Source organism: Homo sapiens, chromosome 20, assembly GCF_000001405.40.
Source record: "Homo sapiens chromosome 20, GRCh38.p14 Primary Assembly".
In the NCBI taxonomy this organism is placed as follows: Eukaryota; Metazoa; Chordata; class Mammalia; order Primates; family Hominidae; genus Homo; species Homo sapiens.
Genome location: NC_000020.11, coordinates 34,396,244 through 34,409,807, shown reverse-complemented (window position 1 = coordinate 34,409,807; position 13,564 = coordinate 34,396,244). Strand labels below are relative to the sequence as shown.

Here is a 13,564-nt window from a genome sequence, read left to right as displayed (position 1 = left end):
GCCAACATTTAGGGCTTTGTGTTAAAACTGAGCTATATCCTACTTCTATGAATCTACACTACAGATATAAACACCAACATACAAAGATATATGCACATGGATGTATCTGCAATACTGCCTAATAGCGCAACATTAGAATCAATACAGAACTATTAAAATATAGTCCACCCATATTAAGGAATATTACAAAGCTATATAAGGGATGCAAGATCCATATGTACTCAGGTAAAGAGATCACCATGATATTAGTGTTAAGTACAAAAAGAAAGTTGTAGAATAAAATGTATAGTAGTAGTCCTAGCTACTTGAGAAAAAGGCTGAGATGGGAAGACTGCTTGAGCCGGGAAGGTTGAGAGAGAGCACTCTGGACAACATAGCAAGACCCCATCTCATTCAAAAAATAAATAACTATAGTATAACTGGCACCGTAATTTAAAATACTAAAAAACTGGCCAGGCACAGTGATGCATGCCTGTGGTCCCAGCTACTTGGGAGGCTGAGGCAGGAGGATCTCTTGAGGCCAGGAGTTCAAGGCTGCTGTGAGCTATGATAGTGCCACTATACTCCAGCTTGGGTGACAGGGTGAGGCTCTATCTCAAAATAAAACAAAGAAAAAACTAACTAAAACACTATTTTTAAAAATTAAGTTAAAAACCGGGGGGGGGGGGAGTACTCATAATCCCTTAATTCAACCCAAAGTTAATAAAAAGTGCTGCCAGAAATCTTTTTAGGTCCGTGACCATGGGCTCTCTTCAGCTATTGTTCAGTGACAAGAGCAATATCATCACCAACTAAACTAGAGAAGGTAAAGAAAGGGAGTGACTATAAAAACAGCTATCTAAAGAGAAACAAAAAAGCAAACCAGAAGGAGTCCTAGGAAAAAGAAAAAAAAAAAAAGAAGAGAGAAAGGAGGAACAACAACAACAAAAAACCAAAGTGAGAAACATTTTTTTAAATTGTATTTCCAATCATCTACTAAACAAAACATACTACAGAAAAATACTTCCAAGCTTACACTGTAAGGGGTTGCTTCCACTTGGGACTGTTTGTGTTGTTGCATTTTTCTGTCTTCTTTGACTGTCCATCTACTGTGACCTCTACGTAAGGACTTGGTCCAAACCAATTCTTCTTATTTTCCTTAAGTTTTGCTGAGATGACTATGTAAAAGAAATGAAAAACATTTCAATAGTTGAGATGTTAATTCACTCATGAAATCAATTTAACTTCATAATTAGGCAGATTTACTAAATTTACTCAGAGAAGCAGTTTTGCTCTAAAATACTTACCAATTTTATTCACTCATAACCTTTGTACTTCCTCCCATCCTAGTAAATAAATATAGAGGTTCCCCGTACCATCAACCCAAATTCCCATCAGTAGAATTCCATGGTATCAAAAGTCCAGAACTCAGATCAATTAAAAAGTACACATATGGGCCAGGTGCAGCGGGTTACACCTCTAATCCCAGAACTTTGGGAGGCTGAGGCAAGAGGATTGCCTAAGCTCAGTAGTCGAAGACCAATCTGGAAAACATAGCGAGACCTCATCTCGCCTAAAAATCAAAAAAATTAGCTGGGCACAGTGGCGTGTGCCAGTCCCAGCTACCTGGGAGGCTGAGGTAGGAGAATCGCTTGAGTCCAGGAGGTCAAGGCTTCAGTGAGCTATGGTTGTGCAACAGCTTGGGCAACAGGAGGAAAAATTTAAAAAGTACACATATGGCTGGGCAGGGTGGCTTGCACCCGTAATCTCAGCTACTCAGGTGGCTGAGGCAGGAGGACTGCTTGAGCCTAGGTGTTTAAGACCTGCCTGGGCAGCACAGCGAGACCATATCTCAAAACAAAATGTATGCATTGACAAACATGGTCAACAAACATCTGAATGCCTACCATGTGTCAGATACTGCTCTAAACTCTGTCCCTAAAGCAATTAACAGTAAAGAAAAGGATCTGGCTTTCAAGGAGATTATATTCTAATTAAAGTATTTATGATGAAAAACAGGCTGATGTGACAGAAAATGACTTGGTAGTAAGGAAGGCCTTTGAGAAGACTTTTAAGCAACCATCCAAATGACAAGGAGCCAGCCATGGGAAGACTGGAGGTGGGAATAAGACAGCATTCCAGAGAGAGGCAAATGAGTATGGCATATCTGAGGGAAAGTATAGCAAGCACAGGAAGGAATGGTAAATGAAGGGAGATAAGCTTTGTATGGGAGCTTTATAAACCAAGATAAAGAATCTGCAGCTGGGCGCAGCGGCTCACATCTGTAATCCCAGCACTTTGGGAGACTGAGGCGGGTGGATCACCTGAGGTCATGAGTTTAAGACCAGCCTGGCCAACATGGCGAAACCTCGTCTCTACTAAAAAATTTCAAAACTTAGCCAGGTGTGGTGGCAGGCGCCTGTAATCCCAGCTACTCAGGAGGCTGAGGCAGGAGAATTGCTTGAACCCGGGAGGTGGAGGTTGCAGTGAGCCGAGATTATGCCACTGCACTCCAGCCTGGGCGACAGAGTGAGCCTACGTATCAAAAATAATAATAATAATGATAATTTAGATTTTATTCTGTGTGTTGGAAAGCCAATGGAAGAATAAGAACTACAAACTAAGATTTTTTTTTTAACATCTCATATTATCTAAGGAAGAGCTTCCTATGTTGTGCATCTTGAGATACAAACTCCTTAGCCTTCACCTTTTAGTTACCTTTGCCATAAAATAGCTTTGTCCAGGCCCCTTACAGGGTATAACAAGTAGAAATCTAGCAAAGCACCCCATGATTTCCATAGGTGGCAAGTCATTGCTCCCTCATAGATGAGGTAACTACAACCAAGGAAGTACCCACCACCCAGGTTATCTACTCCACCACCCAGGTTATCTACTGTAGCAGCAAAGTTCAGAGAATGCTAATGCTCATCAAAGTTAAGGAACCCTTGGAGTTGTCAGAGGAGTTTATATAGTAACTACTTAAGAAGCTTAATATAGCCGGGTGCGGTGGCTCACGCCTGTAATCCCAGCACTTTGGGAGACTGAGACGGGCGGATCACGAGGTCAGGAGATCGAGACCATCCTGGCTAACATGGTGAAACCCTGTCTCTACTAAAAATACAAAAAATTAGCCGGGCGTGGTGGCGAGCGCCTGTAGTCCCAGCTACTCGGGAGGCTGAGGCAGGAGAATGGTGTGAACCTGGGAGGCGGAGATTGCAGTGAGCCGCGATTGCGCCACTGCACTCCAGCCTGGGTGACAGAGCAAGACTCCATCTCGAAAAAAAAAAAAAAAAGAAGCAGCAGCTTAATATATAGTCCAAAGTCTGGATATCTAAGCAGGCATAGTCCCAGGTGGTGGCCCTGAAACTCTGACTTTACATATATCAAATACTTCCATCCTTTTAGGCTTATGTGCCTTTTTGCTGGCATTCAAGCTAGCCACAGAATGACTGACTGAAGAAAAAGAAGAGTTGCAAGAGAAGGCTAGACAAATAGACAAGATCAAGCATGGTGGTTCACACTTGTAATCCCAGCACTTTGGGAGGCTGAGGCAGGAAGATCACTTGAGGCCCAGGAGTTTGAACAAAGCCTGGTCAACATAGTGAGACCCCCGTCTCTACAAAAGATAATTTTAAAAATTAGCCAGGCATGATGGCGTGCACCTGTAGTCCCAGCTGCTGGGGGGAGGCTGAGGCAGGAGGATCGCTTAAGCCTGGGAGGTCAAGGCTGCAGTGAGCTGTGATTGCACCACTGCAATCCAGCCTGGGCAACAGAGCAAAACTGTCTTTTAAAAAAAAAAAAAAATTGTTTCAGATGCCAGATGCTGAGACATCTAAGTGGAAACATGAAATAGAAAGTCTTTTTCAGAATAAAAAATATTCAAGTGGGGACCAGAGCTATCTCTGATTAAAATGTAATAGGCCGGGCACGTAATACCAGCACTTTGGGAGACCCAGGCGGGAGGATCACTTGAGCCCAGGAGTTTAAGACCAGCCTGGACAACACAGTGAGACCTCATCTCTATTAAAAAATAAAAAATAAAAAAAAAGTACTATTAAATCAAAGCTCTAGTGCTTAATATAGAGCCAAATTTAATCACAGGATTACACAGAAAAACATAAAATTTCTACTTTTAATACATTTCTGGTCTAAGAAAAGGTGAAATAGCCCAAACAATTATACATACACTCATTATATTTCAGGGCCTCTTGTGGCACTCTGAAACTGATTAAACCTAGAACAAAGAGCAACGCAAGGCTGACAGGAAGGAAATGATCTGCCCCTGTTGGGGCTTTCTAGGATTCAAACTTTTTTTTTTTTTTGAGATAGGAGTTTCGCTCTTGTTGCCCAGGCTAGAGTGCAATGGCACAATCTTAGCTCATTGCAACCTCCGCCTGCCGGGTTCAAGCGATTCTCCTGCCTCAGCCTCCCAAGCAGCTGGGGTTATAGGCACGCGCCGCCACACCCAGCTAATGTTTGTATTTTTAGTAGAAACGGGGTTTCACCATGTTGGTCAGGCTGGTGTCAAACTCCTGACCTCAGGTGATCCACTTGCCTCGGCCCCTCAAAGTGTTGGAATTACAGGCGTGAGCCACTGTGCCCAGCTGGATTCAAATTTGTGAAAGCAATTTTGCTACATAATCCTACCAAACCCCACTGAAACCTTTTTTTTTTTTTTTTTTTTTTTGAGACAGGGTCTGGTTCTGTCACCCAGGCTGGAGAATAGTGGCACAATCTCAGGTCACTGCAACCACCTCTACCTCCTGGGCTCAAGCCATCCTCCCATCTCAGCCTCCCAAGTGGCTGGGACTACAGGTGCGTGCCACCACATCCAGGAAATTTTTGTATTTTTTTTCTGGTAGAGACAAGCTTTTGACATGTTGCCCAAGTTGGTCTTGTACTCCTGGGCTCAAGAGATCCACTTACCTAGGCCTACCAAAGTGGTGGAATTACAGGCATGAGCCACCAGGCCTGGCCTAACAAACTTTACATGGGGGTGGAGGAGCACCAATTTTAGTATTTACCATGTGCCTGCACGTAAATGTCATTTCAATATCAATACCTATTCTGCGAAACAGGTATTACTGTCCTAATTTTTACACATAAAAAGAGAAGCGGCCGAACGTGGTGGCTCACACCTGTAATCCCAGCACTTTGGAAGTCTCAGTCAAAAGGATCAACGGGGGTCAGGAGCCAGCTTGACAAACATGGTGAAACCCTGTCTCTACTAAAAATACAAAAATTAGCCAGACATGGTGGCAGGCGCCTGTAATCCCAGCTACTCAGGAGGCTGAGGCAGGAGAATCACTGCAACCCGGGAGGCAGAGGTTGTAGTGAGCTGAGATCATGCCATTGCACTCCAGCCTGGGTGACAAGGGTGAAACTCCATCTCAAAAAAAAAAAAAAAAAAAAAGACAGAAGCTCTGTGAAATTTAAAAATTTGCCCAAGGGTCACACTGCAAAACCTGGACAGGAGAAATTATTTCAGTATTCAAATCTCAAAGTCTAGATTGAACAAAACCTTGTGTTATAGTCATAATATTACAAATATAAAATAAATCAATGTACTACTTTCTGAAAACTAAAGTCCCACAGTAAATTAAACAAAAAAATAAAAAACTATACATTATAAACCGGAAGAAAAAGGACCAGAAAAATGTCAGTCTCATCTGACACCTGGGCTACTATGAGAGGCCTCTAAACAACTGTTTTTACTCTCACTTCTCCAATCCAACCCCTCACAGCCACCAGAATTATTTTCCTAGAATAGATGTGATCATGTCATTAATGTCATTACTTAAATGATTCTTTATTGCCTGAAAAATGAAGTTTAAACTCTTATGGGGCATTTTACCTTGCTTAGTATGCAGCTATAACTTACCCTTCCAGCCTCCTACTAAAACAAATCTTACCAAAGTTCTATATTCTAGCCACCCTTAGTTATTTGCTGTTCCTCACATGGGCCATGTACTTTCATTCCTCTAAACATGCTGCTCCCTCTACTGAGAATGATCCTTTTTTCTTTTATACCCATTAAAATTATATTTCCTGAGAGATAAACATCCCCCTTCTCTTTGATTAAAGGCTTCTTTAATCCTAAGAAGTTAAATTATTTCCACCTCCATGCTTCCAGAGTATTTCCATATTTACGTATGGCTCCGTCAGCTTTTCATTTTGTCTTACTAGTTTTTACTCATTTAACTCACCCCGTGAGCCTCTTGATTGCACAGATATAGCCAATCTTTACAATTTCTGGAGCACTCTGGGATTTAATCTGAGAGGTATTTAATATACATGTTGAACCAAATTGTTATTAGTCATGGTAGAAAACAAAAGTTTCCCTGCTTTCTAGTCTCTGTCTCTCTGCTTTATTATAATCACTTGCTGGCTATCTCACTCTCCCATGCATGTGCTCTCTCTCTCTCACACATACCCACATACTAATGCAAATAGTTTTCATGGCTTAAACTAATGTTCCTCTGATCCTTCTGTTCTGAAGGTCAGTGCTTTGAACTGATTTCAGTTCTTCAGTGTATCTCTCTGATACAACATAAACATTTTACAATACACATACAAAAAAAGAATGGATCCGTAGCTTATCCAACCTACTTTGGATAAGCTACAGAGAACAAGGTACAACAAAAAACAGTGCCAAAACTAAATAAATAAGCAGAATAATGAACCAGGTAAGAGATCAATCCAGTTGAGCAACAGCTACCTCTTTGGAAGAACTCTGCCCTGCCTGTGGAGAACTAAACTCTAAATCACAAGTATAAAATTCTTAGTTTGCTGGACTGTTAAAGGAATAAAAAAAAAACATAAGTATAAGGGATCTTTTTGGTCCCTGAACAATCAGAGCTAAATATATTGCACTGTAATAAATTTGGGAAATGCAGTAATATTTAATTACGATTAATAATAACTAAAATCAAGATGACATCTCTTTCTTAATTTGGAGTAAAGACGAGAATATAAGAAATTTCTGGCAAATACCAAAGTTTCCTTATTTTGCCCAATGCTAGCATACAACAAACATCAAATAAAAAACACAGATGAGCCAACAACCCGGTGGAGAAGCTGAGGTCAACATGAGATTTGAAATATTTAAAGTGGATACAAAACTATTTCAGCAATGCAGACAATTAAGTGTGTTGTTGTGGGTGATGGTGCTGTTGGTAAAACAACACAACAAATTTCCATCAGAATATGTACCAACTGTTTTTGACAACTATGCAATAACAATTATGACTGGTAGAGAACCATATACTCTTGGACTTTTTGATACTGCAGAGCAAGAGGATTATGAGGGATTATGACTGCTGAGTTATCCACAAACAGATGTATTTCTAGTCTATTTTTCAGTGGTCTCTCCATCTCTCCATTTTCATTTGAAAATGTGAAAGAAAAGTGGGTGCCACTGTCCAAAGACTCCTTTGTTGCTTGTTGGGACCCAAATTGATCTCAAAGATGACCCCTCTACTATTGAGAAACTTGCCAAGAACAAACAGAAGCCTATCACTCCAGAGACTGCTGAATAAGCTGGCCCATGACCTGAAGACTGTCAAGTACGTGGAGTGTTCTGCACTCACAAAGAAAGGCCTAAAGAATGTATTTGACGAAGCAATATTGGCTGCCCTGGAACCTCCAGAACCGAAGAAGAGCTGCATATGTGTGCTGCTAGGAACATCTCTCCAGAGCCCTTTCTGCATAGCTGGTGTTGGCATCATACTAAAAGCAATGTTTAAGTCAAACTAAAGCTTAAAAATTAAAATTCGTTTTTGCCATAATGACAAACGCACTGCACCTACCCACATGTACTCATGTGAGACAAGGCCCATAGCTATGCGCCGCCCCCCCGTATCCCTAGCCCAGTACTAGTTAATTTTGAGTAATTGTATATTGTCAGAAAAGTGATTAGTACTAGTTTCAGTTTTGTTATTTCAAGATATATATATGTATTTTTAAAGCAAGGCATGCTTGTGGATGACTCTGTAACAGACTAATTGGAATTGTTGAAGCTGCTCCCTGATTCCACTCTGGGACATCTTAGTGGTTTTTTTTCCCCCTCCTCTTTTTTAGGGGGGAGGTTTGTTTTTCAGTCTTTTTTTTTTTTTTAATTCATTAACCAGTGGATGGCCCTTAAGGTGAGGAGGACCGATTGATTCCACAGTCTACTTCCTAGGTCTAGTTGAGAAAACATGTTCCCCATCTGGGGCTTTTAGGAAGGAGTATAGTAAATGCCTCATTTAATAACATACTCCTTTTAGAAAGTTAGTTGCCTTTTTACTCCACCCTTGAGTAGATCCAGTATTTGATGAAACTTGTGAAAGTAGGTGGAAGCTGTCTTACCCCTCCTCTTTTCTAGGAGACACTATATGTGACTGTGACTTTCAAGGACATTTGCTTGCCATTTGCTGATTTTTTTGGAAAGTTAATTTCTTAACTTCTTTCACTAATAAATGAAGAAAAGTACTGCACCTTTGAAACAGAACAAATGGGTTGAGCTTGTAATTTAAAAAAAAATTTCCCGGTCAAAAAAAAGAAAAAAAGAAGACACAGATGAGTTCAGTATAATAGCTGAGGTTATATATAGGCATAATTAAATGGGAAACAGGTAAATAAAGACAGGGAAGGACATAAGAAAACAGACTTACATCCAAGGTAAAGACCCTGGCTAAATGATAAGAAGAAACGAAGAGCTGATTCAAAACATCCAAGACCAGCCTGGGCAACACAATGAGAATGTGTCTTTATAAAAAATTTAAAAATTGGCTGGGAACAATGGCTCACGCCTGTAATTCGAGAACTTTGGGAGGCCGAGGTGGGTGAATCACTTGAGGTCAGGATTTTGAGACCAGCCTGGACAACATGGTAAAGCCTCATCTCTACTAAAAATACAAAAAGTGAGCCAGGCACAGTGGTGCATGCCTGCAATACCAGCTACTGGGGAGGCTGAGGCATGAGAATTGCTTGAACCTGGGAGGCGGAGGTTGCAGTGAGCCAAGATCAAGTCACTGCACTCCAGCCTGGGTGACAGAGCGAGACTCTGTTTCAATAAATAAATAAATAAGTAGGTAAGGGGGTGGGCATGGTAGGCAGAGATTGCAGTCAACTGAGATCGCGCCACTGCACTCCAGCCTGGGCGACAGAACGAAACTGTCTCAAAAAAAAAAAAAAAAAAAGAAAAATTTTTTTCTCTTTCTAACTTTCTAAAACACAAATCTAACCACCCTTTGATACAAACACTGATTACTTCCCATCTCCATCTCCCTTAGCAATAAATTTTTTTTAAGGCACACCTGAAAGACACAGCCATTCCCATTCTCAGGGCTCCCCTATTATAGGAGCTTTCATGGGTATTAGGGCAAGTTTTGTGTACTCTCTTCTTTCATGTGTCTTGCTCATGCTGTCTCCTCAAAGGGTCCTTTTCTACTTTTCTGCATTTAAACAGCAGCAATCCTAGGTCAGGGAAAGTGGCTCAGGCCTATAATTCCAACACTTATGGAAAGGCTGGGAGCATCACTTGAGGCCAGGAGTTCAAGACCATCCTGGGCAACATAGCAAGACCTTGTTTCTACAAAAAAAAATTTTTGGCCGGGCGCAGTGGCTCACGCCTATAATTCCAGCACTTTGGGAGGCTGAGGTGGGCAGATCACAAGGTCAGGAGATCAAGACCATCTTGGCCAACATGATAAAATTCCATCTCTACTAAAAATACAAAAATCAGCTGGGCTTGGTGGCGCATGTCTGTAATCCCAGCTACTCAGGAGGCTGACGCAGAAAAATTGCTTGAACCAGGGAGTCAGAGGTTGCAGTGAGCCAAGATCACGCCACCACACTCCAGCCTGGCAACAGAGCGAGACTCCGTCTTAAAAAAAAAACAAAAACACAATTTTTTTTAATTAGTCAAGTGTGGTGGGTGGTACACGCCTGTAGTCCCAGCCACTATAGAGGATGAGGAGAGAGGATTGCTTCAGCCCAGGAGGTTAAGGCTGCAGTGAACCGTGACTGTGCCACTGGAGTGTAGGGGTGCGATCTTGGCTTACTGCAACCTCTGTCTCCCAGGTTCAAGTGATTCTCCTGCCTCAGCCTCCCGAGTAGCTGGGATTACAGGCACGTATGACCACACCTGGCTAATTTTTGTATTTTTTAGTAGAAACAGGGTTTCACCATGTTGGCCAGGCTATCCTGAACTCCTGACCTCGGATGATCTGCCCGCCTCAGCCTCCCAAAGTGCTGGGATTACAGGCATGAGCCACCATGCCCGGCCAACCCTGTCCCTTAAAATAAATAAATAAATAGCAGCAATCCAAACACCACCTTCTTTCCCAGTGACTCTAGTCAAATACTGATCTCTTTTTCCTGACCAGTTATCCCTTCTTGCCATTACAATACATGGTGACATTTGTTTATTTTTATTTTATTTATTTATTTTTTTGAGACAGTTTCACTGTTGTTGCCCAGATTGGAGTGTAATGGCACGATCTCAGCTCACCGCCATCTCCGCCTCCCGGGTTCAAGCAATTCTCCTGCCTCAGCCCCCCGAGTAGCTGGAATTACAGGCATGTGCCACCATGCCCGGCTAATTTTGTATTTTTACTAGAGACAGAGTTTCTCCATGTTGCTCAGGCTGGTCTCGAACTCCCAACCTCAAGTGATCCGCCCACCTCGGCCTCCCAAAGTGCTGGGATTACAGGTGAGAGCCACCACGCCCAGCCTGACATTCATTTTTTACACTTGCATATTTATTCCTTACTTGATTCTAGAAAGGCATTGAGGCAGCTTACAATAAAACAAATACTATAACTGACCCATTAAGAGATTAAAACCCACGATGTCATTAAGGAGATTTGTGCAAAATACTTAGTTCTAAGCATTCTAGCATCAAAACTAAAGAAGTAACTCAATGAATTATGAAGGGCATTTGATTCTATTAAACTTGGCACTTCTGTCTTTTATCTTATGTTCTCTGTTTCATATCTAATAATGTTTGCTGAACTATTATCCATTATTCATGGTGTGTTTGTTTTTTGCCCTACACTTGAGCATTCTCAGAATATTTAGACCCAATTAGCAAGCAATGAATTAAAAAAAGAAAAAGAAAAAAATTTATAAAAAAGAGAATATTTAAGGCCAGGCGCGGTGGCTCACGCTGTAATCCCAGCACTTTGGGAGGCAGAGGCGGGTGGATCACCTGAGGTCAGGAGTTCAAGACCAGCCTGACCAACATGGTGAAAACCCGTTTTTACTAAAAATACAAAAATTAGCCAGGCATAGTGGCGGGTGCCTGTAATCCCAGCTATCTGGGAGGCTGAGGCAGGAGAATTGCTTGAATCTGGGAAGCGGAGGTTGCGGTGAGCCGAGATCACGCCATTGCACTCCAGCCTGGGCAACGAAAGGGAAACTGTCTCAAAAAAAAAAAGAAAAAGAATATTTTAGACCCAAGATTTTAAAAATCTGAGATGTGGCTGAGTGAGGTGGCTCACACCTCTAATACAAGCAATTTAGGAGGCTGAGGTGGGTGGATCACCTGAGCCCAGGAGTTTGAGACCAGCCTGGGCAACAGAGCAAAACGCCATCTCTATAAAAAATACAAAAATTAGCCGGGTGTGGTGGCGCACACTTGTAGTTCCAGCTACTCAGGAGGCTGAGGTGGGAGGCTCACCTGACCCCAGGAGATCAAGGTTGCAGTGAGCCATGATCACGCTGCTGCACACCAGCCTGGACGACAGGGTGAGACCCCATCTCAAAAAGAAAAAAATCTGAGATGGCTATGGATTACGACTTTTTGAGGTGCAATTAGTGTTTATCATCACAGTAAAAAAAAAAAAAAAATTCAATAACGATGATAGCAAGTAAGACACTTTATGCAAAGAAAAAAACTATTAATCATTGTCTCTGAGAATAATTTACTATTTTTTTAAATCAGTAAAAAATAAAATGTATATTACTTATGTAATCTGAAAAAGTACAGAATGTTTTAAAGGACTGTTCTAATAAAAGCTTTCAACTTTAAGCTGCCAAAAAGAAGTCATAAGAATTCTGGTCTGATATAAGTCAGCTACTCAAGCTAGATTGAGGATGAGGGGTGGGGAAAAAAAACTGGAATCTGGCCTTAACTAAGAAATAGTAATATCTTTCTTTAAGAAACAGATACTGCTAAGGAAAGATACCAGAGTTAGTGAAGGAAATCCGAAAAAATTCTATGATGTGGTTACCTTAAGACAGTATTATTTTTATATTCAATCACCTTTAGGTTTTGAGGAAAATAATAATGCTAAGATATGATCTGTGACCTAACCTATTCATAATCCAGAAGAAGCTATAAGCCAGGCATAGTTGAAACTAAAATACAGGGGATGATAATTGTTCTATAATCAATAAATGCTATCAAATTAAAGGGAGAGAGACTGAGGTTTTCATTGTGTGATAGAAATACATACACATCTGAGGAAAATCCAGTGACTCATTCTAGCTAGTACAAATGGTTCACATATAAAGACTTACAGGCCGGACGCGGTGGCTCACGCCTGTAATCCCTGTACTTTGGGAGGCCGAGGTGGGTGGATCCTGAGGTCAGGAGTTCAAGGCCAGCCTGGTCAAGATGGTGAAACCTCGTCTCTATTAAAAATGCAAAAATTAGCCAGGCTTGGTGGCGGGCGCCTATAACCCCAGCTACTTGGGAGGCTGAGGCAGAGAACTGCTTGAACCTGGGAGGCGGAGGTTGCAGTGAGCCAAGATTGCACCACTGCACTCCAGCCTGGGCGACAGAGACTCTGTCTCAAAAAAACAAACAAAAAAAAACAAAAAACCTACAAAGACACCATATGTAGACAGAGGGTGAAGGGTCTTAGCTCATACTAAAGAAACTCTATACCATAGTCTAAGAGAAGTACCTAAGGTTTTTGAGCAGGAATGAAACATATTGGATGGCATATTAAAAACATTAATCTGAAAGTGATACATGAAATGATTAGAGGAAGAAATAAAGACAGAGATATTAATTAACAATAGCGACAGAGGTATTAATTTACAATAGCAAACAAAGGACGTGAACAGACATTTCTCCAAAAAAGATACAAAAATGACCAATAAGCACATGAAAAGACAATATCATTAGCCATCAAAGGAGTACAAGCCAAAACCACAATAGGGAGCTGGGTAGGGTGGTGCATGCCTGTAGTCCCAGCTACTCAGAAGGCTGAGGTGGCACGATCACTTCAGCCTAGAAGTTAGAGATTGCAGTCAGCCATGACTGCACCACTACACTCCAGCCTGGGTGACAGAGCAGACTGTCACCTGGTCTCAAAAAAAAAAAAATTAAATGGATAAAACATATGCACGCGCGCACACACACAGAGTAAAATACTACTTCACACCCACTAGAATGGCTATCATAAAAAAGATAATCACTGGCAAGAATGTAGAGAAATCGGAATCCTCATATATTGCTAGTGGGAATGCAAAACGGTGCAGCTGCTTTTAAAAATAATTTGGGCCCGTGCAGTGGCTCACGCCTGTAATCCCAGCACATTGGTAGGCCGAGGCAGGTGGATCACCTGAGGTCAGGAGTTCGAGACCAGCC

At 41.6% G+C, this 13,564-nt stretch overlaps 1 protein-coding gene and 1 pseudogene across 13 annotated transcripts in view; one reads left to right on the top strand and one right to left on the bottom strand.

Annotated features, from left to right (window-relative positions):
* Positions 1-13,564, bottom strand: part of ITCH (itchy E3 ubiquitin protein ligase) — a 148,501-nt gene that overhangs the window by 101,966 nt on the left and 32,971 nt on the right. For 10 of the 13 annotated variants that reach the window (NM_001324197.2, NM_001324198.2, NM_001257137.3 and 7 more), the window contains one exon: positions 1,016-1,157. The exons of 1 other annotated variant lie outside the window; for it this stretch is intronic. In NM_001324197.2, coding sequence (NP_001311126.1) covers positions 1,016-1,157 — 142 coding nt within the window. Of the gene's footprint in view, positions 1-1,015; positions 1,158-12,486; positions 13,060-13,564 lie in introns of those variants that run through there. 2 more of the 13 variants (XM_047440534.1, XM_047440535.1) reach the window with 1 other exon arrangement.
* On the top strand, positions 7,036-7,648 carry CDC42P1 (CDC42 pseudogene 1; annotated as a pseudogene).